The 26,582-nt window shown below is 40.6% G+C and overlaps 1 protein-coding gene, 1 long non-coding RNA gene and 1 pseudogene across 20 annotated transcripts in view, besides 4 other annotated features; 1 reads left to right on the top strand and 2 right to left on the bottom strand.

The window, feature by feature from the left end:
• Nucleotides 1–26,582, top strand: part of UBE2R2-AS1 (UBE2R2 antisense RNA 1) — a 94,784-nt gene that overhangs the window by 27,353 nt on the left and 40,849 nt on the right. For 2 of the 15 annotated variants that reach the window (NR_170211.1, NR_170207.1), the window contains exon 4: nucleotides 9,423–9,640. The exons of 11 other annotated variants lie outside the window; for them this stretch is intronic. This is a non-coding gene — a long non-coding RNA (UBE2R2 antisense RNA 1). Of the gene's footprint in view, nucleotides 1–5,405; nucleotides 5,632–9,422; nucleotides 9,641–16,013; nucleotides 16,217–26,582 lie in introns of all 15 variants that reach the window. 2 more of the 15 variants (NR_170210.1, NR_170213.1) reach the window with 2 other exon arrangements.
• Nucleotides 1–26,582, bottom strand: part of PRSS3 (serine protease 3) — a 48,553-nt gene that overhangs the window by 7,716 nt on the left and 14,255 nt on the right.
• Nucleotides 4,649–4,657: a recombination feature (RSS nonamer).
• Nucleotides 4,658–4,670: a recombination feature (RSS spacer).
• Nucleotides 4,681–4,687: a recombination feature (RSS heptamer).
• TRBV29OR9-2 (T cell receptor beta variable 29/OR9-2 (non-functional)) lies at nucleotides 4,688–5,295 on the bottom strand (annotated as a pseudogene). Its single transcript is given in 2 exon segments — nucleotides 4,688–4,988; nucleotides 5,264–5,295. Coding segments are annotated over 2 exon segments (333 nt in total).
• Nucleotides 12,374–12,433: an enhancer, noted in NCBI's record as "active region_28301". NCBI's record gives its function as "activates an Ori minimal core promoter by ATAC-STARR-seq in GM12878 lymphoblastoid cells {active_cell/tissue: GM12878}" and the evidence as "EXISTENCE:reporter gene assay evidence [ECO:0000049][PMID:35858748]".

The following is a 26,582-nucleotide window of genomic DNA, read 5'->3' as shown; positions in this document are numbered from 1 at the left end:
TAGCTCTAAATTGAGGCTCACAAGCTGGGTTTGGTGATAAATCCAGTCAACTGGGTTCCTTCTACTCATTTAGCTTATAAAAGTCTAGACTGTGTCATCCATTTGGAAGGCAGCCAACGGGTCAGTCATTTCCTCAAGATCGTCTTGGCCAGGAGGGCCTTCAAAAGGCTCCCAAGGCTCAGAACTGAGTGCTCCATCCACACAGGCACCAGCACAATTCCAATTGAGAACCTTCCACCCCAGAGCCACTGTGTTTGAGCAGGTTCTGCACTTTGCTTCTCTGTAGAACCCATATCATCTGTTCCATTTCCCAGTCTTGGGTAAGGCAGCAGAAGGGGATTGGCACATGACATGTGTACCTTTCTATTCAAATACAAAGCTTGTTATCTGTAGTCTTCCTACAGTTCTGTAAAACACTGGAAGTTATTCCTCCTATCTAGCTGTAATTTTGTGTCCTTTAATCTTTTCCTATCCTCCCCGCAACTAAAACATAAATTTGAAACAAGAATAAAAAATATAAAGTTTGAAGTGCTTATTCCTTTCCTGTTAGAATAATCTAGTTAATTTTCTTATGGGCTTAGATTATCTAAACTCAAATGCCTTTGTAGAGTTTTCCTCCAGGGAAATCCACTGCAGCTGTATAAATTTTCCTCTTTTCTTTGAAATCATATTTATTTACTCACAAATATTTATTGAATTCCTGGAGTGATATTCCAGGAGTTCTTCTAGGCTATTTGGAAGCAGCAATGAAGAAGATAGAAAAGGTTCTTGTTTCAGTGCATTTGTGAGTACACGTGCATGCATTTATGCACATGTGAGGAGGTATAGAAATGGGATGCACATACATCGCTTTCAGTAAATGATGAGTATATATTAGTAAAATAGGATAAAGTGATAATATAATATGGGATGACTGCTGAAGTGCTTTTACGTAGAGTGGAAGGGTCTCTTTGGGGAGGTGGCATTTAAGTTAACACCTGAATAAAAAGGACCAGCCATCTGCAGGTAGAGTTAGGAGGGCTTTCATGGTTTACTTCTGAGTCTGTAACAGAAATAATTCAAAACACACAACCAATTGCTATTTAAAATTAAATAACCCTGTCATCTAGCCTATGGATATATACCTTGTCATGGGTTTTGATTGTATGAAGGATGGTCATCAGTGTATTGAACTATTCTTATTAAAGTTAATGTAAAATATTTTTGACATGAAATGATATTCATGAAATATTGTTGGGTTAAGGGAATAAATTCTAAAACTACATATTGTATGATCTAATTGTATTAAACTGAACGATTTTGACTTTTTATTTTGATAATATGCATATTTTATAATACCACAAATTTTTTATGTAATTAAAATAGCTAAAAGAGAAACAATTATAATAATAAAATTTTCTGAGAGCGGGTCATACTTATTCTTGAGGAAGGAATTGCTAGTGGTAAAATATGTTTTTATAGTGAGAAATACGTTTAGGTAGCAACTACACTAATTGCATATTTTGTCTCTGTGTGCTTTTTATGCAGATAATTGCATCACTTTCTTATAAAAAAACCCTACATTTAAAAACTCACTATTATTCTTATTTTCTATGGAGAAATTAAGGCATGGAGAAATTGTGTAACTTGTTAAGGTTACACCTAGTGTTAAAGAAGAACCAAGTTTTAAACTTAGGTCTGTCACTTGATAAAGTTCAAGTTCCTAAGCACAGTGCTTTACTGCTTTTAAAGAGGCAATTTTGTAATATAGGAAGGTGCTTCATAATCCAAGGCTTCACTGTAGGTAAATTTGTCAACTTCCTATGGTAATGGGAGCATCGAGCAGGAAGGTAAGCTAGCACTGAACCCATGACATAAAATGGGTATACATGTGCATTCCTGTGACCTGGAGAATTAGTACACGTGGAAACTGGAGAAGGCCCATGACACCTTACATGGACCAGAAACTAGATAGGAATCACTCCTTCATAAAGTGAGGTACACAAAGAGATACACAGTTAGTGAAAGGATGAGCTAGAAAACTAATCCTAGAAACAGTTAACAAAGAATATTATTTATCTTGGTCTTGGCTTTGGGTGAAGGATTTAAAAAAAATTCCTCTGAATATTCATGGTCGCTGAACAGTCAGCCCATTGGGGTTTGAGATAGACATTCTGTGACCAAGAAGATATCTACTGAGAATTATAAAAAAAGTGATATTAGGTCTGTAGCGCCCCAATTTCTTGACAGAGGCAAGCATGAATATTTCTTAGAAAACCCACTTTTACTCCAGTATTTAAAGAATTCTGAAAGATGAATTGACATCAAATTAAATAATGCCCAAGGAAATAGGCCACCCTGAGTGAGAGCCAGCAGACTACTAAAAACCAGATGCAAAAAGGTATCAAATGCTGGCATTGTCAGATAAGAATTCCCAGTAGATGCTTAATATACTTATAAAAAGAAAATAGTTTTAAAATACACAAGGAGTAAGATGCTTTCAAAAATGGCCACTCATATTTGTAAATGACCCAAGTGGATTTTCTAGAAATAAAAATTAATATAATTTAGATGAACAAAGTCAGCTGAAAGATTAAATTAGAGGCTTACTGGAGCTGAGGTGTGAATTAGTAAACTAAACAGTAGTTTTAAAGAAATTACCCAGATTGTAGCATAGAGAAGCAAAAAGAAGAAAAATATGACTGAATAGGTAAGGAGACTAGATGATAGTATGAAAGAAAATTGAACATAAGATATAGCTATACTTCTGGCCATCTCTTCTTCAATAAAATATGGACAACAATCAGGTATACCAATTTAAGTTTTGGCCCCGAGAGGATTTCCCTTCACCACTACCTTTCAGAACCATACTTGGTTAGACTGTAATGATCCTTCCAGAATAACGTGAAGACCCATCTAAAACAATGAGCTCATGTTTCTCAACTGGAAATATGGAATTTCCATAAAACTTAGGTGTGGTTTGAAGGTAAGAGGAGAAAAGTATGAGTAGGGTACCGTGAGACTCAGATGTGCTCTTGAAATTGAATTGTGCCTTTTTCCAGCTGTGCTTAAGTATGGTCTTGATTATATATTTTCCATTTAATAACAGAGAGAATGCTCTGGGCACAACCAAATTCAGTTTTGCAGATCAGATAATACCTTGTTCTGAATGCCATTATAAGGCATCCATTACAGAGCCAGGAGCAACTTTTCAAAAGAAGAAGAGGGGGTCGTTGGCTGGTAAGAGTATGGCTTTAACCAAAACTCTGCACCTGTCTGCAGGGCAATTCTCCAGGTGGCCTTGGACAAACTCAGTACTCCCCAGTTTCTTGCTTGTAGTTCTCAAGAATAACTGTACAATGTTCTGGGAATGTAACATCCTGAGATAAGGAGGAACTGTCCAGAATAGCCAGGGCTCTGTTCCAGTCCCTTCTAGAAATAGAATGTCCTTCAGTGCTTTGCCAAGCATGTCAAGTTGCTCTGTGATATAAAACCCAGGGTGGCTGCTCTCTGAGGTCCCCCAGTGGCAGTGCAAGTAGGGAAGGCACAGACAAGATTTCATCCACCCTGGACAGCTTTCCTGAGCCTAGTGGGACTGGCTTTCCCTGAATCTTAGGCCTCTGTTTTCCCTTGCTGCCTGTGTGTAAGTAATAAACACTCTTCGTGTAATTTGTGTGTGAGAGCATTCTTTCTCTCTGGGGTCTGGAAAGCAACAAAAGTGTAGCCCAAGATGCAGTGGTCTGAAGTGCAAATCAGGGCACAGTGAACCTGTTCCACACTGCCTTGTGATTCTCTTACTGGGGAATGTCAGGAGCTCCACAGAGCATCTGTATCTACCATAGGCTCTTCAGGAGCAACTGGGTCTGCTTAGTCTATGGCCCAAGCAGCAGGAAGCTTTTATCATGGGCTTGTTCTGCCACAGAACCCTCTCTTTCCCTGGCCCCAGCTTTACAGATTACATAGTAAACGGAATAGAGTAGCACAATCAAATGCAGTATATCCAAAGTTTAATTCAAAGTCCAAAGACTAAGCATTGCATCTCTTTCTCTGTGGTAGATGATCTAAGGTGCAGCAGCTTACTTCTCACATTAGAGGAGATATTTCAACATGCCCCAAACCTCTGGACCACTCCAAAACTCACCAGTATAGAAGGTTCCTGAACTTTGCAGATTTTATATTGGTCTGGGATGCATGTGTCATATTGTCATACTGAGGCATCTAGAGGGCTTTATAATTCCTATCCACGGAGAACAACCAGATGTCATTAATGTAATACCAGCTTTGTTTCAAGATGACTAAAGTTCTTCCAAAATATATTATGATAGAAAACCAGCTAAATAGAGCCTTGAGATAAAACAGTTAAAGGCTATTACTGACCCTGCCACTTGAAGGAAACTGTATCTGATTGTTTTTATTGGGTATTTCTGAGCACCCTTCTAGAAGAAATTTTACCCTCAGCTTTCCAGGAGCCACTCTTCCTGACTGTGGATAGAACACTGCAGCTAGTCCTGCAGATGCTCTCCTCATCCCCAGTCTATCCATTCATACCCATGCCCACCTACAAGCACAGAAGCAGCTGTGTCTACCCAAGAGCTGTGGTTTCCTCTTCTGTCCCACCTTGACAGGGCCCTCAGGTTCATGTGAGGGGAGCTGGGTAGAAGGGAGCTGAGGTTCTTGCTTAGATCTTTGATCTGTGCCCTGCACTGTGTCTTCAACGCTGCAGAGGTATATGCTGCTGTCTTCAGGTCTCCTGTTGCTCACAGTCAGAGTTGAGAATGTTAGGTTTGGGCGGCTGATGGGAAACTTGTCAATGACAAATCTGCTCTCATATGTGGCCTCAGAGCCCTGATTTGCAGTTGCAATCAGTGTCACGCTCTGTCCAGGTTGCTGACAGTACCAGAACATCATGGTGACTTGGCTGTCGACTTGACACTGGATCATCATGGAGGTTCCACGTTGACAGATATCCCTGCTTGGCTTTTGAGAGATGACAGCACTGAACACAGAGCCTAGTTCCAGAGAGATATTCATGAGGGCCGACAAGCTTGGGGTCAGACGGGAAAGTCTCTGCTTTATCTCTCCAATACCACCTCAGCTCCCAAAGGACCCCAGGGCACTGCCTCCTTTTTATTGTGCCGACAATTACTCTGTTATGGTCCTTTAATCTAACATATCCCCTTCATCTTCTGTCTGGTGGCTTCAGACTCTCCGGAGAGGAAGTCTTTCCACCTCTCTACCCAGCATTAACATTAACCCCAGACTCCTCACAAGTCAAGGCTCATACCTAATCCCCGGAGAAGGAGCAGGAGACAGCATCTTCAAGTGATGGCCTCTCCCCTGAGAAAAGGCACTAAGAAGTGAAACTCAAGTTCATCTTTCCTTCCTACAGCGTAGTTCTTTCCCGCTCTGTTTCTCTCCTCTAATAGGTGGTTGAGTTTCTGCAGGATATGCAAAAACCAGTCTTCCCCCTGGTGGAACTGTGTGGCTCTTCACTCAGGATGAGTCTTCATGCACAAGCCTTGCAGCATGCACCGGCCACTTACCACCGTTCTCCCATTACTTTTCCATCTGCCATTACTGAACACCAGTCTGTGCTACTGTCTGGGTGTAGAGCAAAAAGTGGGGTGCAGAACTGACTTCAAAGAACTAAAGGTAATAGGTTAGAATATAAGGGAACTCCATAACAGTATTTCAACTGTCTGCTGGGTCTTCATGGTTGTCCCAAACTGAACTCATTCCTCCCCCAACACATACACACACCAATAAATGGGCTCTTATTCCTCAATTCCCCTCTCCCAACAAACGGCATCCTTGTTCTTCTTGCACGTTAGGCTCAAGAATTCCATAAGCCTCTTTTTTTCCTCACCTACCTTATTTGTCAATTTGCAAATTAAATGCATTGTCTCTTATATGTTTTCCTTTGTTTCAGTTATCACAGTCATAACTATTTTTTTGTCTTTGCTTAATTCCTGAATACTTGTAATATGGTTTCTTCTATTCTAATTCAACTCAGTCTAGGCCACGAAACAAATCATGCCTGTGTAAAACTTGACCACAATGGGCCGGGCGCGGTGGCTCACGCCTGTAATCCCAGCACTTTGGGAGGCCGAGGCGGGCGGATCACGAGGTCAGGAGATCGAGACCATCCCGGCTAAAACGGTGAAACCCCGTCTCTACTAAAAATACAAAAAATTAGCCGGGCGTAGTGGCGGGCGCCTGTAGTCCCAGCTACTTGGGAGGCTGAGGCAGGAGAATGGGGTGAACCCGGGAGGCGGAGCTTGCAGTGAGCCAAGATTGCGCCACTGCACTCCAGCCTGGGCGACAGAGCGAGACTCCGTCTCAAAAAAAAAAAAAAAAAAAAAAAAAAAAAAAAAAATTGACCACAATGCTATGATCTTTTTCCATTATCAAGCTGATTTCTTGTATCATGTAACTGCTTAAAATAGTTCATTTTTGCATAAGAGTAGAGCTAAGTTTTTGAGCACTTACTCTGCTTTTCATACATTTATTTAAGTCTATTTTTTGGTTAGGCTATTTATTATTGTCACACTATTTTTACAGATTAGGAAATTTTACAGATAAGACCTAGAGACCTTAAATAATCTATCCAAGTTCATATAATCCAGGAGTAAGTGATAGAGTCAGGACTCAAATCAATGCCTATGTGATCACAAATCTCAAGTGTTAATATCAACACTATCAAGTATTGTCTGACTCTTACAGTTGCCTGTGCCTTAGTAAAGTACAATCTGGTGGGTAGCTGAGAATGATAGGCCTAACACTCTAAAGAATACTAGGGAACTCTAGAAAGACAGGCTTGCAAAAACTCACCTATCTTATTTGATTCTGAGATTCTCTCTATTATACGATGTTCTATTAAATACCTAGTTGTTACTCTGGGTAGTGTTTAGTACTACCACATTAAAGGTGAAGATTGATTATAGGACTTACCCATATTTCAAAGAAAATAGAATTGTGAAAAACAATTTACCTTATAATAGAGAAAATGTGACACTTTGACAATATTTCAGTAACTTGTTCATATGAGGAGTGTGTGTGAAGCCTTTACATCTATTGGACATGCCACGGACAGTGGCTCAAGATAAACTCTGCTAAGTGGAAGTAGTAAAACGTATAGAATATTTCAGTTTTTCTTGACATGTAGGTATATTTTTAAATCTTTTAGTCAAATGTATCAAACTCCCTGCCAAAATAACCCAGCATCTTTTTCATTTCATTTATCCTAAAAGCTTCTGAAAATTAACAAATGATCCCTATTCTTTACTAAATTCCAAATCTTTGCCTCTTCATCAGTATTCTCTTTGTTTGAAAAAAACAAAAAACAAAAAACAAAACTGCAAACATATTCCCCTCTCTTTACATGCCTTTCAAACTGCAGTAGTCTCTAGATTTTTCTCTCAGGGAATGTTATGGATACTAAACTCTCATTTAATTTTAATGTGTTTATTTATTGAATTAATACATGCACATGGTTAATGATTCAATTATAACAGAGAACAAAAAATAAGTTCCCTCTCCAGAGACAGTCTTGTAAGTGTTTTGGTACATGTTCTAGAAATAATAGTTCTTGCTTGTTCAAGTTTATGTAAATCTGACTCCTCCTCCTTCTTTTTTTTTTTTTTTTTTGAGATTAAGTCTAGCTCTGTCGCTCAGGCTGGAGTGCAGTGGTGCGATCCCGGCTCACTGCAAGCTCCGCCTCCTGGATTCACGCCATTCTCCTGCCTCAGCCTCCCAAGTAGCTGGGACTACAGGCGTGCACCACCACGCCTGGCTAACTTTTGACTCCTCCTTCTTTTACACAGAAACACACAGCCCAAACCTTCCTGTACTTCACTTCTTTAATTAGCAATGTGGTTCTTATCGGCATATTTCAAAGTTGATTAAAAAATACATAGAATTGTGCCATTATTTTCCATTTTATTATGAGAATTTTCAAACATCTATAGAAGCTGAAAGTTTTATACAGTGAACATGCATGTACCCACCACCTAGATTCTGGATAAAACTATTACTGCTTTACCACATAACAATCCATCTATCCATCCTTCTATTCATCCATCAATCCATCTAGTTTTTTAATTCATTGAAAAGTCAACTGAAAGCATACTTCACTTCTAAGCAGTTCAGCACACATATAATTAACTGGAGTTGAAGCTGTTTTTCAGGTAAAATTTGCATGCAGCACCATGCACAAATCTTGAATACTGTTAAACAAGTTTTGACAAATGCATACACTGTGTAACCTACTAAATTATAGAATATTACCATTATCTCCAAGTTTTCTCATACCTTTAGTTTTCCTCACTGCTAACCCCTTAGAGGCAACCAGAGTTCTGATTTCATTATAAATTATTCTTTTCTAGAATTTTCTATAAATGGAATAACATCATACACTCTTCTATGCAAAGTTTCTTTCACTCAGAATAACGTTTTTAAGATTTGTTCAAGTTGTGTGTATTAGTACTTCATTCCCTTTTGTGGCAGTGGAATATGTCACCATGTGGATATACTACCCTTTGTTTAGCCACTTCCTGTAGATGGACGTTCAAGATGTCTCCAGGTTTTCGCAATGATGAAATCACTTTCTGTAAACATTCTGCTTTAAGTCTTTTTTTGTAGATGTATGCTCTTATTTCTCTTAAGTAAATACTTAGGAGTATAATTGCTGGCTCATGGGGTAGATGATCATAGGGGTTTAGTTTTATAAGAAACTATTATTTTCCCAAATTGGTTGTATTATCCACTTTCACCAACAATATATGTAAGTTCTGGGACTCCAAATTTTTGCCAGCATTTGGTGTTGCCAGGTGGTTTAATTTGAGTGGGTATGTGGATGGTTAGTGGTATCTCATTGTGGTTTTAATGTGTATTTTCTATTTGTCTGTCCTTTTGCCAGTACCACATTCCTTTGATTATTGTGGGTTTATAGTAAGTCTTGAAGTCAGATAGTGAAAGTACTCCAAGTGTGTTCTTTCTAAATAACGTTTTGATTATTCTAGAGTGTCAGGAGCTCAGCAGAACTGAAAAAGAGTGCTGAGGACTTAGGTACTCATTTTAACATATTTAGTCTTTTTAAAATTTCAACTTTTATTTTAGATACAGGGGGTACATATGCAGGTTTGTTACATGGGTATATTGCACCCAGGTAGTGAGCCAATTAAAGCAACAAGCCCAAAAGGAAAGAGTTAAGTCTTTAATTACCTCCTTTAATAGTGTAAGCAAGAGTCTAAAGCCAGAGAAATTACTGACTCCCCCTGTTCCATTTTTCCCTGTGGAAATGGCACTGGTCAAGGGTTAGTTGGATTAGTGCAGACATGGGTTTGTCTCACTGTTGGGGGGCCCTGCAAGGAGAAAGTGGAAACTCACTGGGTACTCAGAGTGGAGAAAAGTGTCTTTAAGGCTTTCTCTTCCTCTCCTATTAGGAGGCCATGACAGAGGCACCTGAAGAAGACCTCTACATAGGCCTCAGATAAAGAGACCTAAGAATGGAGGATCCTGAGCTGGCAATATAAATATGCACAAGGGCGTGACCAGCCAGGGGGTCCTTGACTGCAACTCCCTTCAAAGACTGCAATGCATTGGCTGTGAACCAAGTCTGGGGTGGGCAGAACAGCCTCTCCACACCCTGTAAGCCTGCCAGGTAAAGCCTTTGTAATTAATTACCTCTGGCCTGAAACATACATAGGCTTCTAACCAGGAGTGGGACTTCTCATAAATTCTTTGTGTGTTCATATACCTTCTAGAATCAGCTTTTTAGTTTCTTAGAAAACAAAAACAGTTGAGATAACAATTGAGATTTTAATTACTGTAGATAAAATTTAGAGAGTGCTAGTTTTAACATATTTAGTCTTTTTAAAATTCCCACTTTTATTTTATATACAGAGGGTACATATGAAGGTTTGTTACATGGGTATACTGCACCCAGGTAGCAAACATAGTACCCAATAGGTAGTTTTTCAACCCATGTCAACCTCCCTCTCTCTTCCCCTCAAGTAGTGCTCAGTGTCAATCATTCCCATGTTTATGTTCATGTGTGCTCAATGTTTAGTTCCCACTTGTAAGTGAGAACATGTAGTATTTGGTTTTCTGTTCCTGCATTAATTTACTTAGGACTATGGCCTTCAGCTCTATTTATGTTGCTGCAAACAACTTGATTTCATTCTTTTTTTAGGGCTGTGTAGTATTCCATAGCATATATGTTTTCTTCATCCAATCCATCATTGATGGGCACCTCGCTTGATTCCATGTCTTTGCTATTGTGAATTGCATGGTGATGAACATATGAGTGCATTTTGGTATAATGATCTAGTTTCCTTTGGATATATAATCAATAATGGGATTGCTAGGTGGAATGGTAGCTCTGTTTTAAATTATTTGAGAAATCTCCAAACTGCTTTCCTCAGTGCCTGAACTAATTTACATTTCCACCAACAATGTATAAGCATTCCTTTTGGGTGGAGTGTTCTGTATTTGTCTATTAGTTTCAACTGGTTAAGTGCTGAGTTTAAGTCCAGCATTTCTTTGTTAGTTTTCTGCCTCAATGATCTGTCTAACACTGTCAGTGGAGTGTTGAAATTTCCCACTATTATCGTCTGGTTGTCTAAATCTTTTCATAGGCCAAGAAGAACTTGTTTTATGGATATGGGTGCTCCAATGTTGGATGCATATATATTTAGGATTGTTAGGTCTCCTTGTTGGATTGTACTCTTTATCATTATAGTAATGCCCTTCATTGTTTAACATCTGTTTTATCTGATAGAAGAATAGCAACTCCTGTCCTTTTTTGTTTTTCATTTGCTTGATAGATATTTTCCCCTCTCTTTGTTTTGAGCCTGTGGGTGTTGTTACATGTGAGATGGGTCTCTTGAAGGCAGTGATGGTTGGGTCTTGTGTTTTTATCCAGTTTGCCACTCAATGTCTTTTAAGCAGGTGTTTAGCCCATTTATATTCAAGATTAGTATTGATAGGTGTGATTTTGATTTCATACCCATGTTGTTAGCTGGTTGTTATGTAGACTTGACAGCATAGTTGATTTATAGTGCCTGTGGGCTATGTGCTCAAGTGTTTTATGGCAGCAGGTTCTCTAGATTCCATATTTAGCACTCCCTTAAGGACCTTTTGTAAGGATGGTCTACTTAAAATAAATTTCCTCAGCATTTGCTTGTCTAAAAAGGATTTTATTTCTCCTTCATTTATGAAGTTTAATTTGACAGGATATAACATTTTTAGTTAAATTTTTTTCAGGATGCTGAAAATAGTCTCCCAATCTCTTCTGGCGTATAAGTTTTCTGCTGAGAAGTCTGTGGCTAGCCTGATGGGGTTTCCTCTGTATGTGACTTGACCCTTCACTCTAGCTGCCTTTAGAATTTTTTTTTCTTTTACCTTGACCTTGGTGAATCTGACGACTATGTGTCTTGGGGATAGTTGTCTTATATAGTAACTAGCCAGGGTTCTCTGTATTTCTTGGAATTGAATTTCAACCTCTCTGGCAAGATTAGGCAATTTTTTTGGTGTTTTTCAAATACATTTTTGAAATTGCTTACTCTTTCTCCTCCTATTTCAGGAATGCCAATGAGTCATAGATTTTATATCTTTACATAATCCTATATTTGTTAGAGGTTTTTTTTTTTTTTTTTTTTTTTTTTTTTAGACAGAGTCTCGCTCTGTCACCCAGGCTGGAGTGCAGTGGCGCTATCTCGGCTCACCGCAAGCTCCACCTCCCAGGTTCACGCCATTCTCCTGCCTCAGCCTCCCGAGTAGCTGGGATTATAGGTACCTGCCACCATGCCCGGCTAGTTTTTTTATATTTTTAGTAGAGACGGGGTTTCACCATGTTAGCCAGGATGGTCTCGATCTCCTGAACTCGTGATCTGCCGGCCTCGGCCTCCCAGACTGCTGGGATTACAGGCGTGAGCCACCGCGCCCAGCCAGTTTTGTTCATTTTTTAAATTCTTTTGTCTTAATTTTCATCTAAGTTGATTCAAAGAACTGATCTTCAAGCTCTGAGATTCTTTCCTCAGCTTGGTCTGTTCTGCTGTTAATTAATAATTTACAGCAGAATTTACAGCAGAATTGCATTATTAAATTCTAGTAGTAAATTTTTGAGCTCTAGAAGTTTATTCTGATTCTCAAAATGGCTATTTCATCTTTCAGTTCTTGGATCATTTTACCGGGTTACTTGGATTCCTTGGATTGAGTTTCAAATTTCTTCTGAATCTCAATGAGCTTCCTTTCTATCCAGATTCTGAATTTTGTGTTTGTCATTTCAGCTATTTCAGACTGGTTAAGAACCATTTCTAGGGAGCTAGTGATCCATTTGGATGTAAGGGGATGCTGTGGTTTTTTGAATTGCCAGAGTTCTTGTGCTGATTCTTTCTCATCTGATAGGGTTGGTGTTCCTTTAACTGCGGGGTAAGTTGAGTATGGTCAGTTGGATTCATTTCTGGATGCTTTCAGAGGGCCAGGGCTCTGTACAGAATCCGCATATGTGGGTGAATTCTTGCACCTGGTTTCACATCTTGCATATATAATTAGCATGATAATTTTAGTGTGGTAGTTTGTGCCGTGATCCAGTAGATGGCGCTTAAGAGTAATGGCCGATAGCTAGGCTAACACCCAGCTTGTGTGGCTCTTGTACTTTCTTGTTCACAGGCATGCTCTGAGGTGGGTGGGGGAGAGAGATGGCCCCCTCACAAGGTTTGCTCCTAGGACTTGTGGGGAATCACCTCCAATCCCTGGCACTGCACCTGCATTTCTTTTGTTAGGTGTTCCAGGCTGCAGGGGACTCCTGAGGCAGAGGCTGCAACAATCCATGGACATGATTTATACTTCTATATTTTAAAACTGTCTTTCATTTCCTTTAGCAACTATTTTTATTTTTCTGTATACAAGTCTTGCATGCCTTTTGCTAAATTTAAATATTTTGTTTTTAATATAAATTTAGGTTTTAAAATTGAATTATCCAATTGTTTACCATTAGTATACAAAATATAATTTTTATATGTTGTAATAATAAATTAAGGTATGCACTTATTAATTTGAGTAGTTAATGTATAGTTTTTTAAATATTTGGATGTAAGTAGTCCTTTCATCTCTGAAAAAGGTTTTCCTTATCCTTTGATCTTCAGCTTTTTAGTATTTTTCTTGTCTTTATGCATCAGTACAATATGGAATAGAAGTGGTTAAGAGTGAACATTATTGACTTCTTTATGATCTTGAACATGTTTAGTATTTAAGAAATAAAAATGGGAAGACGTTTAATATTTCTCTCATTAAGTGTGACATAAGCTGTTGGTTTCTTTCAGGTGCCTTTATTAGATTGAAGAAGTCCCTTTTTTCAACCTAATTTTCTGAGTGTTTTTATCATAAATGAGTTTGGGATTTTACCAAATTTTTTCTATCTGTAGGTATAATCAAATAGATTTTTTAAAATGTGTTAATAAGATGAGTTACATTGATTGATTTTTTTAATGTTAGACCAAACTGGCTCCTAGAATAGACTCTATTTAAATATTTGAATAATATTTTTGGATTCTGTTTTGATTTTTATTTATTGGCTTTTTGCTATACCTCTTTAATATTTTCAGGGCTATTCTGGAAAATAAAGAATGATACATTTAAAACTATTTGTCTACTTACTGTATTGTAGAAGTTTACTTAAAATATAAGAAATTTGCAACTAATAGATGTTTTTCCTACTCCCGTCCTTTAAGTTTTAGTGTCATTCTGTATTACATATATTTTATATATCCTATAATACAATGATGAAGTTTTTACTTTAACTAGTCTTACTTTTTTTTTTTTTTTTTGAGACGCAGTCTCGCTCTGTCGCCCAGGGTGGAGTGCAGTAGCGCGATCTCGGCTCACTGCAAGCTCCGCCTCCCGGGTTCACGCCATTTTCCTGCCTCAGCCTCCCGAGTAGAGTAGCTGGGACTACAGGTACCCACCACCTCGCCCGGCTAATTTTTTTTTTTTTTTTTTTTTTGGTATTTTTAGTAGAGACGGGGTTTCACCGTGTTAGCCAGGATGGTATCGATCTCCTGACCTCATGATCCGCCCGCTTCCGCCTCCCAAAAGTGCTGGGATTACAGGCTTGAGCCGCGGTGGCTCGACCTAAGACTCTTTACTATCTGACTACATTTCACTACTTCTTGTGCTCTTCATTTCTTCCTCACAATCCAAGCTTCCAACTGGTATTATTTCTTTTTTACCTAAGAGAATTCCATTGCCATTTACTATCATGTAGTTCTACTGCCAATGAATATTTTAATTTTTATTTATATTCAGATAACTTTACTGTGGTATTTTAATTTTTTGCTGAATATTTTATATCAAATTCTGGGTTTACTTTTTCTATTTCTTGTAGCACTTTAAAGCTACAGTTCCCTTCTCTTCTGGTATTCGCTTTTTTAAAAGGAAAAATTATCATTATTCATGTTGTTGTTCCTGGTATGTATGATTTTTCTCTGGCTGTTTGAAGATTTTGTCTTCTTTTCTAGTTTTGGACAATTTGACTGTGATGTGCCTAGGTAGGTTTTCTACAGATTATTTTTCTGAAATTCTTTTTATATCTTTCAATATACTTTTTAATTAGGCTTTTTAAAAAATATTGTTTTTATCCATGCTTTTTAATATTTATATCTCCTCTTCTTTCACTCTTACTCCAATTGCACACATTTTGTACCTTTTGATATTTTTCTAAAGATCACTGAGGCTATTAATTTTTTCATATTTTTTTCTCCTGTTCTCTAGATTTTGTAATTTCTATGGATATAACATCAAGTTTCTGTGTCCTTCTTCTGACATAAGCTGTTGGTTTCTTTCAGGTGCCTTTATTAGATTGAAGAAGTCCTTTTTTCCAGCACCATTTATTGAAGATACTATTCTTTCCTCATTCTTGTTCTTGACACCTTTGTAGAAGATTAGTTAACCTTATATGAGTGGGTTTATTTCTGTGATTTCAATTCTGTTCCATTGCTCTATGTGTGTTTTTATGCCAGTACTCTGTTTTGATTGCTATAGCTTTATAATAGAATTTGAACACAGGAAGTGTGATGCTTCTGGCTTTGTCCTTACTGTATGGTTCTCTTTCTGTTTTTTAAAAGTCAGTGTTGGTTGAGCTTTTTTTAAAAAAATCTGCAATTCAATATTTTTCATCAATATTTTTTTCTCTCCCTTTTTGGGGCTCCCATTACATGTATGTGGGGACATTTAACATCATCCTATGTGTGTCTGAAGGTCTGTTCATTTGTCTTCATTTTTTTCTCTCTGTTTTTCAAATTGGATCATTTCTATTGGTCTATTTTCATGTTCACTGGTTCTTCCACTATCTGAAAATCTGCTATTGAGCCCATCTAGTGAATTCTTAATTTTGGTAACTGTACCTTCCAACTCCAGAATTTCCATTTAATTCTTTTTATAGTTTGTATTTCACTATTTAGATTCCCTATTTGTCAAGTCATTTAAATCATATTTTCTTTTAATTCCTTGAACAGTTTTCTTTAATTCTCTGAGGCTGGGTGCAGTGGCTCATGCCTGTAATCCCAGCACTCTGGGAGGCTGAGGCGGGTAGATCACTTGAGGTCAGGAGTTCAGGACTAGCCTAGCAAACATGGTGAAACCCTGTCTCTAGTAAAAATACAAAAAATTAGCCGGGCGTGGTAGTGGGCGCCTGTAATCTCAGCAACTTGGGAGGCTGAGGCAGGAGAATCACTTGAACCCAGGAGGCGGAAGTTGCAGTGAACTGAGATCGTGCCACTGCACTCCAGCCTGGGCGACAGAGTGAGACTCCATCTCCAAAAAAAAAAAAAAAAAAACTTCAAGCCCATTGCATTTCCAGCCCCTGTTAGTTGATCTGTGTGGGGCTTGGAGAAGGCCAGTTTTCAAGTCCCCCTTGTCTTTCACTTTTTGCTGGGCTCTCTCAGGTCTTCTCTATATATGCATAGATAGTTTTTTCAGTCAGCCAGGGATGCGTGAAGAGCTCACTTCAATACTTCTCTGATTCTCATTTCCAGAATCCGCCTGTTAAATTCCTGGTTGGCCTGCTGCTTGCCCCAAGTGGGGCTGCAACCTCAAGCTAGCGAAGCTGTGGATTTGTCCTGCTCATTTCCAAGTGTTCATTCCCATGTTAAGCCAACAAAGCCAAGGATTTTCAACCCCCCAGCCACTGCTCTGAATTGAATCTGTTTGTATGGCAGCAAAGCTACTAGTTTTCATGGTCAGCCCCATCTTACTTAAAAGTCATTGGCTGAGCTGGGGGGTGACGGGAGCAGCCACAGGCAGAAAAAGCCACAATCTCCTACTTGCCTAAAGATCTAGTAGTTTTTCAAGAATAAATGCTGCTCAATTTTTTGCCTGCATTTTGTCAATTTCCAGTTTCCTGAAATGGTTGGTTTTGATAAATAATTTTGTCTAGTTTTATATATTTTTTGGTTGGTTGTTGCTTTTTTTTTTTTTTTTACAGAAAGAAATTGCCTGCCTCTTTGTGCTGCCATAACTGGAAGGCCTTCTCCTCATTATTATTATTTTTTGAGATGGAGTTTCGCTCTTGTTGCTCAGGCTGGCATGCAATGGTGCAATCTTGGCTCACTGCAACCTCTGCCTCCCAGATTCAAGCGATTCTCCTGCCTCAGCCTTCCAAGTAGCTGGGATTACAGGCGTGCGCCACCATGCCTGTAATTTTTTTGTGTTTTTAGTAGAGGCAGGGTTTCACCATGTTGGTCAGGCTGATCTCAAACTCCTGACCTCAAGTGATCCACCTGCCTCGGCCTCCCAAAGTGCTGGGATTACAGGCGTGAGCCACTGTGCCCAGCCTGCTTTTTTTTTAAACCCTCCTTTGAACATAAAAAATTTACATTTTTGTTTAATGTTTAACACAGGTCCCTTTCAATATCAAGCTCGTTATACTTCATTTTCCTAGGCAAAGGTGCAGAAAAACCAGCTTTGCAAATGTATGTCAAAATTGCACACTGACTAACCGGCTTCCCTCCTCCCTGCCCTGCCTCATTTTTCTCAAAAGCAGTGCCTGAAATAAAGGCAGAGTCCTTGTCTGCCTCTGTGTACTTGATACCGGCTTGTCAAGACCCACCCTTCCCTTTCACCTCGTCTAAAATTCACACCAGTGGACAGCAGGGCCTGCAGCATGTCTGTAGAAATTTATTTAAACTTATGTATGATTCATAGAAGACTGAGTACTTTGATTTGATGGGGATGGGCTATATTTCTTCCATTAACAAATTAATGGATTAGTTCATTAGATTAGCTACATTATGGAACACGTGGAGGAGATGGAGGATGAGTCACTTTTAGTTACAGGAGGAACAAGGTAATAAATAACTTCAAGTAGAACAATAAAAATTTGGACTTCTAAATAATTTGGATAACCCATTTTCCAAATATAGGCTAAGCCCCTGCTGTGGTTTAGCATTAAAAACATTTAAATAAAATAAATGTTAAATAAAAAAATACTTAAGGAATGTTTCCTAATATACACAACTGGTGTGTGCAATATACAATAAAACCTTTCAATCTAAGGACAAACTTACGAATAGGAAAACAAATATCAGATAATGCTTTTAGGCCAGGTGCAGTGGCTCACACCTGTAATCCCAGCACTTTGGAAGGCTGAGGTAGGAAGATTGCTTGAGCCCAGGAGTTCAAGATCAGTCTGGGCAACATAGTGAGACCCCTGTCTCTACTAAAAATAAATTAGCTGGGCATGGAAGGGCACGCCGTAGTCCAAGCTACTCGGGAGGCTGAGATGGGAGGATTGCTTGAGCCTGTGAGGTTGAGGCTGCAGTGAGCCGTGATCGCACCGCTGACACTCCGTGTCACTCCACCGCTGGGTGACAGAGTGAGACCCTGTCTCCAAAGGAAAAAAATAAGTGCTTTCACAAAGGCAAATTCCCCAACTTTCTTATTTCAATATATTTCCTCTTTTTTTAATTTCACATGAGATATGATGGGAGTGTGAGGGGAGGATTGAATGTTTTGGACAAGTAGTAACTTTGCCTTTCACTTTCTGCTGTGCTGTCTCAGGTCTTCCCCATAGATGCATAGCTTTTTCAGTCAGCTAGGGATGTGTGAAGACCTCATCTCAACACTTCCATGACTCTCATTTCTAGAATCTCCCTATTAAATCCCTGGCTGATTTGCTGCTATGGCCTAGTATTAAAAATAGCAACCAAGCTGGCAACCAAGAAGACTGGAGGTTTGGGCAACTGTTCCTTTTTATTTCATATCTAGGGAGATCATTGGATCCTTCCCTCCCTCCCTCTCTCCTTCCTTCTCTCTCTCTCTCTCTCATTTGAGATAAGTGAAATAGAAGATAAGATAGAAGGAGTCAGAAAGAGAAAATGGAGGCAAGAGTAAGGGAGAATGAGGAGCAAGGAAACCAGAGGGAAGCAGAGGCACAGAAGAAGAGAGAGGAAATGGTGCCAAGGAAAGGAGAAATTATGGTTGATGCCATTTGGCTGTAGTTAAAAGTAAAACTTGATACGGTGCTTTAAAAAAACAAAGCAGTAATTTTCCCTTATTTTAGAGGGGGGAAAGCAGGAAATGGTGAAAGAAGAGATGTCCAGATGAATGGAAGGATCAGAAAAAGGGGGAAGGTGAATTTTGTTTTTCTCCTCGAGTGCCTAGGCTTGGCAACCAGCACTCTCTAACATTACGTTGCTCCCACAGGTGGAGAGTTAAAGCAAATGTCTCCCAGTTTGTGGCGGCAGACACAAAATATATAGATCCCAAATACCCCAGAGAGCTTGGGCCTCTACTCAAGTTCCAACCACGTGTTTGAATGAATAAATTATATTTTATCTTTACTATGAGATGCTATATAACCATTAAAAAGAATGAATTGGAGGTATCCCAGCTGTCCTAGAAGGTTTTTCATGAGATGTTGGCGAGACAAGCAAGAAGAGCGACAAGAGCGAAACTCCGTCTCACAAAAAAATTAAAATAAAATAAAATTAGTATAATTAAAATTCTTTGTATCATTAAAATTCAGGCAACTCAGGCTCTGTCACAGTACAAGGTTAAGCCATTAGGTCATTCTTGAGTCCAATGGCTCACAACGGGGACTGGTGGTGGCACTCTGGCTTCTCTGAGTGGAGACCAGGGACACTGCTGAACATCCTCCAAAGCACAGGATGGCCCCACAGCCAAGACTCTTGTGGCCCAGAGTATCAGCAATGTCGAGCCTGTGAGATCCTGCTCTCACCCAGGCCTGCTTCCCAAAGCCCTTTAAGTCCTGAAGGGAGAAGACAGCAGGCTGCCTTCTTTCTGTTATTTAAATCCCACTTAACTCCCTCTTAGAGCATGTTCTTCTCCCTTTAAGACTAGCCTGGGGGCTGCGCGCGGTGGCTTACGCCTGTAATCCCAGCACATTGGGAGGCTGAGGTGGGTGGATCACCTGAGGTCAGGAATTTGAGACCAGGCTGGCCAACATGGTGAAACCCCATCTCTACTAAAAATGCAAAAATGAGCTGGGCATGGTGGCGGGCACCTGTAGTCCCAGCTAATTGGGAGGCTGAGGCATGAGAATAGCTTGAACCCAGGAGGCAGAGGTTACAGTGAGCTGAGATTGAGCCACTGCACTATAGCCTGGGTGATAAAGCAAGATTTAGTTTCAAAAAAAAAAAAAAAAGAAAAGAAAGAAAGAAACTAGCCTGGATAACATGGTGAAACTCCATTTCTACCAAAAAAACAAAAAAACAAAAAGAAAAGAAAAGAAAAGAAAAAAAATTAGCTGGGTGTGGTGGTGCATGCCTGTAGTCCCAGCTACTCAGGAGGTTGAGGCTGCAGTGAGCCATGATTATGTCACTGCACTCCAGCCTGGGCAACAGAAGAGACCCTGTCTCAAAAAAAAAAAAAACAAAAAAACAAAAAAACAAAACCCAGTGCAGTGGCTCATGCCTGTAATCCCAGCACTTTGGGAGGCTGAGGCGGGCGGATTGCCTGAGGTCAAGAGTTCAAGACCAGCCTGGCCAACATAGTGAAACCCTGTCTGTTACTAAAAATACAAAAATCAGCCGGGCGTGGTGGTGGGCACCTGTAATCCCAGCTACTCAGGAGGCTGAGGCAGGAGAAACTCTTGAACCCAGTAGGCAGAGGTTGCAGTGAGCTGAGATCGCGCCACTGCACTCCAGCACTCCAGCCTGGGAGACAGAGCAAGACTCCATCTCAAAACATAAAAAAAAAAAAAGGAAAAGAAACCCCTCACTCTCACCAGTCTTCTCCTTCCCCAGCCCCATCTACATGTGGTGGAGACCAGCCAAGGCTGGTCTTAAAGGGAGAAGAACATGCTCTAAGAGGGAGTAAGTGGGATTTCAATAACAAAGAAAGAAGGCAGCCTGTTCTCTTCTCTCTTCAGGACTAAAGGGCTTTGGGAAGCAGGCCTGGGTGAGAGCAGGATCTCACAGCCTCGGCATTGCTGATACTCTGGGCCACAGGGGTCTTTGTTGTGGGGCTGTCCTGTGCATTGCAGGGTGTCCAGCAGGCAGCCACCAGTCATTTTATATTTCTACAGGTTTGCCTTTCAATTCATAAATTGAATTATATAATATGTGGCCTTTTGTGACTGGCCCTTTCTGTTGGCACGATATTTCCCAGGTTTCTCCATGTTGTAAGCATGAATCAGCACTGAGTCCTTTTGATGGCTGAATGGTACTTCGTTGTGTGGGTACACCACATATACTGGTTGCTAGGGCTGGTAAGACAGTACCACACACTGGGCAGATTAAACAATCATTTACATTCTCAGTTCTGGAGGCCTCTCTTCTTGGCTTGGAGGTGGCCATCTTCTCTCAGTGTCCTCACATAGTCATCCTCTTGTGTGTGTCTGTGTTCTTATGAGGACATTACTCATACTGCATTTGGGCCCCACCCTAATGATCTCATTTTAATTTAATTACTTCTTTAAAGATCTTATCTCAAAAGAGTCACATCCTGAGGTACTGGGAGATAAGACTTCAACATTTGAATTTGGAGAGAGCATACTCAGCCCATAACACCCTGTCCTCTGCTCCCTGAAAATCCATGTCCTTCTCATATGCAAAATACACTCATCCCCATCCCAACAGTGCCAGAAGTCTTAACCCAGACCAGCATCAACTGTAAGTCCAAAATCTCATGTAAGTATCGTCTAAACCAGGTATGGGTGAGATTTGAGGTATGGTTCATCCTGAGGCAAAATTCTTCTCCAGCTGTGAACCTTTATGACCAGACAAGAAATTATCTGCTTCCCAAACAGGACAGGCAGAGTATAGACATTTCTAGTTTAAAAGTGGGACATTGGAAAGAAGAAAGTGGTCATGGATCTCCTGTCCTGGAACCTGGTAGGGCAAATTCCGTTCAATTTTTTTTTTTTTTTGAGACAGTTTCATTTCACCCTTGTCGCCCAGGCTGGAGTGCAGTGGCACGATCTTGGCTCACTCCAACCTCTGCCTCCTGGGTTCAAGTGATTCTCCTGCCTCAGCCTCCCAAGTAGCTGGGATTACAGGCATGAGCCACCATGCAAGGCTATTTATATGAGACAGGATTTCACCATGTTGCCCAGTCTGGTCTCCAACTCCTGATCCACCTGCCTCAGCTTCCCAAAGTGTTGGGATTACAGGCGTGAGCCACCGCGCCCAGCCCAATTCCAAGGCTTGAGAATAATCCTTTTTGGCTCAGTGTTCTGTTGTCTGGGTCCACAGGGTGGCCCTGCCTTCCAGGGCCATCACCCTGATTCCTCTACCCTAAATGGTGGCCCCACCCCTTGGTCCTGGGCTGGGGCATCCTGGCCTGCTGAAACCAAGGAAATGGCACCAGTCCTGCCCCTGAATCTGTGTGCCCTGGGCCCAAGGTGGCAGTAGCAACCTGGCAGATCTCTGAACTAGCTTCAGGGTCATTCTTCTCTTTCCTTTAAGGATAACTCATGATCATAGCCATATCGCTGTACTGGCTGGTCCTGCAGAATTCCAGAAGTCTGAGAATCTTCCTTCATTTCTTCCTATTTCTGTCTCCTTTGGTCCAAACTGGCAATGTCTGCTGGTATAAATTCTGAAAAACCTTGTTGGCCTCCTATGCAATCCATAGGGGGCGAGGCCATTTGACAAGAGGGCCCTCCACAGAAGTTCCTGGGAAAACCACATCTCTGTTCCCGACTTGCTGAGTTGGTTGACTGTATCCATGCATCACATTGGCCATCTTTTCAGATGGGGGTTCAGCCACACCCTTGGTCTTTTCTCCAGAATGTGCTTTCTCATTTTTTGTAGAATGGATAGACTGAGAGTTTTCCAAAAGTTTTGGTTCCTTTTTTTCTAAAAATTCCTTTTTTAGTTTATCTCTCTCCTTTCATATTTTACTATGAGCAGCAAGAAGAAATCAGGCCACCTTCAGTATTTTGCTTAGAAATCTCCTCAGCTAAATATCCAAGTTCATCATTTATAAGTTCTGCTTTCCATGAAACATGAGAATCCAATTCAACAAATTTCTTTGCCACTGTATAACAAGGTCCATCTTTCTTCTAGTTTCTAATACCATGTTCTCATTTCTGTCCAAGTTCTCACCAGAAGTACCTTTAACATTCATATTTCAACCAACATGCTGTTCCTGATGATACATGTATTCTCTAAGATGATAGACGCATTTTCTTTTCCTTTTTTATTTTTATTTTTTTGTGGAGACGGAGTTTCTCTCTGTCACCCAGGCTGGAGTGCAGTGGCATGATCTTGGCTCACTGCAACCTCTGCCCCCCGGGCTCAAGCAATTATCCTGCCTCAGCTCCCCGAGTAGCTGGGACTACAGGTGCATGCCACCACACCTGGCTAAGTTTTGTATTTTAGTAGAGATGGGGTTTCACCATGTTGGCCAGGCTGGTCTCAAACTCCTGACCTCAGGTGATCCACCTGTCTTGGCCTCCCAGAGTGCTGGGATTACAGGTGTGAGCCACGGTGCCCAGCTGATAGGTGCTTTCTCTACAGCTCTGTTCTTTCTTTCTCAGTCCTCACTGGAATCACCTTCAATGTCCACATTTCTGTTGTTGTTTTTTTTTTTCCTTTGAGTCTCGCTCTATTGCCCAGGCTGGAGTGCTGCGGTGGTGCTATCTCAGCTCACTGCAACCTCTGCCTCTCAGGTTCAAGCAATTCTTCTGCCTCAGCCTCCTGAGTAGCTGGGATTACAGGCACATGCCACCACGCCTGGCTAATTTTTGTATTTTTAGTAGAGACGGGGTTTCACCATGTTGGCCAGGCTGGTCTTGAACTCCTGACCTCAAGTTATCCACCCGCCTCAGCCTCCCAAAGTGCTGGGATTACAGGCGTGAGCCACAGCGCCCAGCTAATGTCCACATTTCTATCAACAGTCTCTTTAAGGCAATTTAGGCCTTTTCCAACATGCACCTCCAAACTCTTCCAGCCCTTACTCACTGTTTAGTTCCAAAGCCACGTCTGCTCACCAGCACCCTATTTCTTGGTACCCAAATCTGTACTGGTTGCCAGGGCTGCTGTAACAAAGGCCCACAGGCTGGGGGACTTAAACCACAGCCATTTATCTTCTAACAGTTCTGGAAGCTGGAAGTCTGAGACCAATGCGTTGGCAGAATGGGTTTCTTCTGAGGCCTCTCTCCTGGGCTTGCAGATGACCGCTTTCACCCTGTGTCTTCAGATGGTCTTCTTTCTGTGTGTGTCTGTGTCTAAAGTTCCTTTTTTTTTCAGACAGAGGTTCGCTCTTGTTGCCCAGGCTGGAGTGCAGTGGCACAATCTTGGCTCACTGCAACCTCTGCCTCCTGGGTTCAAGTGATTCTCCTGCCTCAGCCTCCTGAGTAGCTGGGATTACAGGTGTCTGCAACCACGCCTGGCTAATTTTTTGTATTTTTAGTAGAGACGGGGTTTCACCATGTTGGCCAGGCTGGTCTGGAACTCCTGAGCTCAGGTGATCCACCCGCCTTGGCCTCCCAAAGTGCTGGGATTACGGATGTGAGTCACCGCGCCCGGCCCTAAAGTTCCTCTTAAAGGATATCAGTCATATTGGATTACTGTCCTAATGACCTCATTTTAACTTGATTACTTCTTTAAAGACCCTGTCTCCAAACACAGGCATATTCTGAGGCACTGGAGGTGAGGACTTCATCACATACACTTGGAGGTGGGGGAGACAAAATTCTGCCCATAATGCCATATGTTATTTATCCATTCATCAATTCACACTTACATTTCCCTTTATTTTTTACTTTTTCTGTTTATTTTTTGAGACAGAGTCTCCCTCTGTCGGGCCAGGCTGGTCTCGAACTCCTGACCTCAGGTGATCCACCTGCCTGGGCCTCCCAAATTGCTGGGATTACAGGTGTGAGCCACCAGGCCTGGCCAATTAACACATTTCCTTTTATAGATTTAATTACTAAATCACTGTGAAAAATAACTCTCAGGTGTATAACAAGCTACAACTATTTCAACAACTTTACTAAGTTTTTTTACTTTTTATTTCTGTGACAGTTTTTCCTGATGGCTCTGAAAGTCACCCTAAGATGGTTCTCCGTACTTTATTGCCATTACTCTTCTACTTAAAAAAAAAAAAATCCACCATGTAATTTACATACCATAAAATTTATCCTTTTAAGGTGTTTAATTTGGTATTTTTTGGTTTACTAACAGTTGTGCAACCATTATTGCTATCTAATTTTATATAAAATTACAACTATTCAATTTTAAAATGCTTTTACCAACCCCCAAAGAAATCCCATACACATTGATAGTCATTCCCATTTCCTGCCAGCACCCCCAGCCCCTGGCAATCAGTAATACGCTTTCCGTCTCTGTGGATTTGCCTAATTTAGACAGTTTATATAAATTAAATCATACAAGATGCAGCCTCTTTCCCTCAGCATAATGTTTTCAAGATTCATTCATGGTATAGCATGTATCAGCACTTCATTCCTTTATTTATTTATTTACTTATTTATTTATTTGAGACAGAGTCTTGCTCTGTCGCCCAGGCTGGAGCGCAGTGGTGCGATCTCTGCTCACTGCAAGCTCCACCTCCCCGGTTCACGCCATTCTCCTGCCTCAGCCTCCCGAGTAGCTGGGACTACAGGCGCCTGCCACCATGCCCGGCTAATTTTTTGTATTTTTAGTAGAAACGGGGTTTCACCGTGTTAGCCAGGATGGTCTTGATTTCCTGACCTTGTGATCCACCCACCTCGGCCTCCCAAAGTGCTGGGATTACAGGCGTGAGCCACCGCCCCCGGCTCCTTTTTTTTTTTTTTTTTTTTTTTTTTGAGACGGAATCTGGCTCTGTTGCCCAGGCTAGAGTGCATGGCGTGGTCTCGGCTCACTGCAACCTCTACCTCCCGGGTTCAAGCGATTCTCCTGCCTCAGCCTCCCGAGTAGTTGGGATTACAAACGCTCGCCAGTATGCCTGGTTAATTTTTATATTTATAGTAGAGATGGGGTTTCACCATATTGGCCAGGCTGATCTCGAACTGGTGACCTCGTGATCTGCCTGCCTTGGCCCCCAAAGTGCTGGGATTACAGGTGTGGGCCACCACGCCCGGCTACTTCATTCCTTTTTATGGCCAAATAATATTCCATTGTGTGGATGTGTCACATTTTATTTATTCACTTGTTAGTAGATGGACGTTTGAATTGTTATGAATAATGATGCTGTGAACAACTGCATGTTTTTGTGTGTATAGATGTTTTCATTTCTCTTGGATATGCAGTAGTCTCCCCTTATCCATGGATTTGCTTTCTGCAGTTTCAGTTACCTGCAGTCAACTGTGGTCCAAAACCATTAAATCAAAACTTCAAGAAACAAATAATTTAGAAATTTTAAATTGCACACCATTCTGAGTAGCATAAGGAAATTTCATGCCATCCCACCCTGGATATGAGTCATCGCTTTCTCCAGCATAACCATTAGTCACTTAGTAAACTGTCTGGATTATCAGGTTGACTGTCATGGTATCATAGTGCTTGTGTTCACATAACCCTTGTTTTACCTAATGGCTCCAAAATGAAAAAGTAGCGATGCTGGCAGTTTGAATATGCCAAAGAGAAGTTGTCAAGTGTTTTGTTTAAGTGGAAACATGAAAGTTCTTAATAACGAAAGAAAAAAATAGTATGCTGAGGTTGCTAAGATCTACAGTAAAAATGAATCTTCATCCATGAAATTGTGAGCAGTATATTGTTGTAATTGTTCTAGTACACATATAGTTCTAATATAGTCCTACTATTATTGTTAATCTCTTACTATACCTAATTTATATAAGCTTTATCATAGGTATATACATCTAGGAAAAAACATAGTGTATATAAGGTTTGGCACTAACTATCCACGGTTTTAGCATCCACTGGGGGTCTTGGAACATATCCCCTGCAGATAAAGGGTGATGACTGTATACCTAGGAGTGGAATACTTGGTCAGATGGTAACTCTATGTTTAACATTTTGAGAAACTGTCAGACTTTTCAAAAGTGGCTAGACCCTTTCACAATCCCACCAGCAATGTATTAGAGTTCCAGTTTCTTCACATCTTTGCCAACACTTGTTATGTCTTTTTTCATTTAGCCATTCTAGTGGGTATGAAGTGGTATTTTGTTGTTTTGT

The sequence above is a fragment of the Homo sapiens genome, chromosome 9 (assembly GCF_000001405.40).
Source record: "Homo sapiens chromosome 9, GRCh38.p14 Primary Assembly".
Classification (NCBI taxonomy): domain Eukaryota; kingdom Metazoa; phylum Chordata; class Mammalia; order Primates; family Hominidae; genus Homo; species Homo sapiens.
This window is presented reverse-complemented; position numbering and strand designations above follow the sequence as displayed.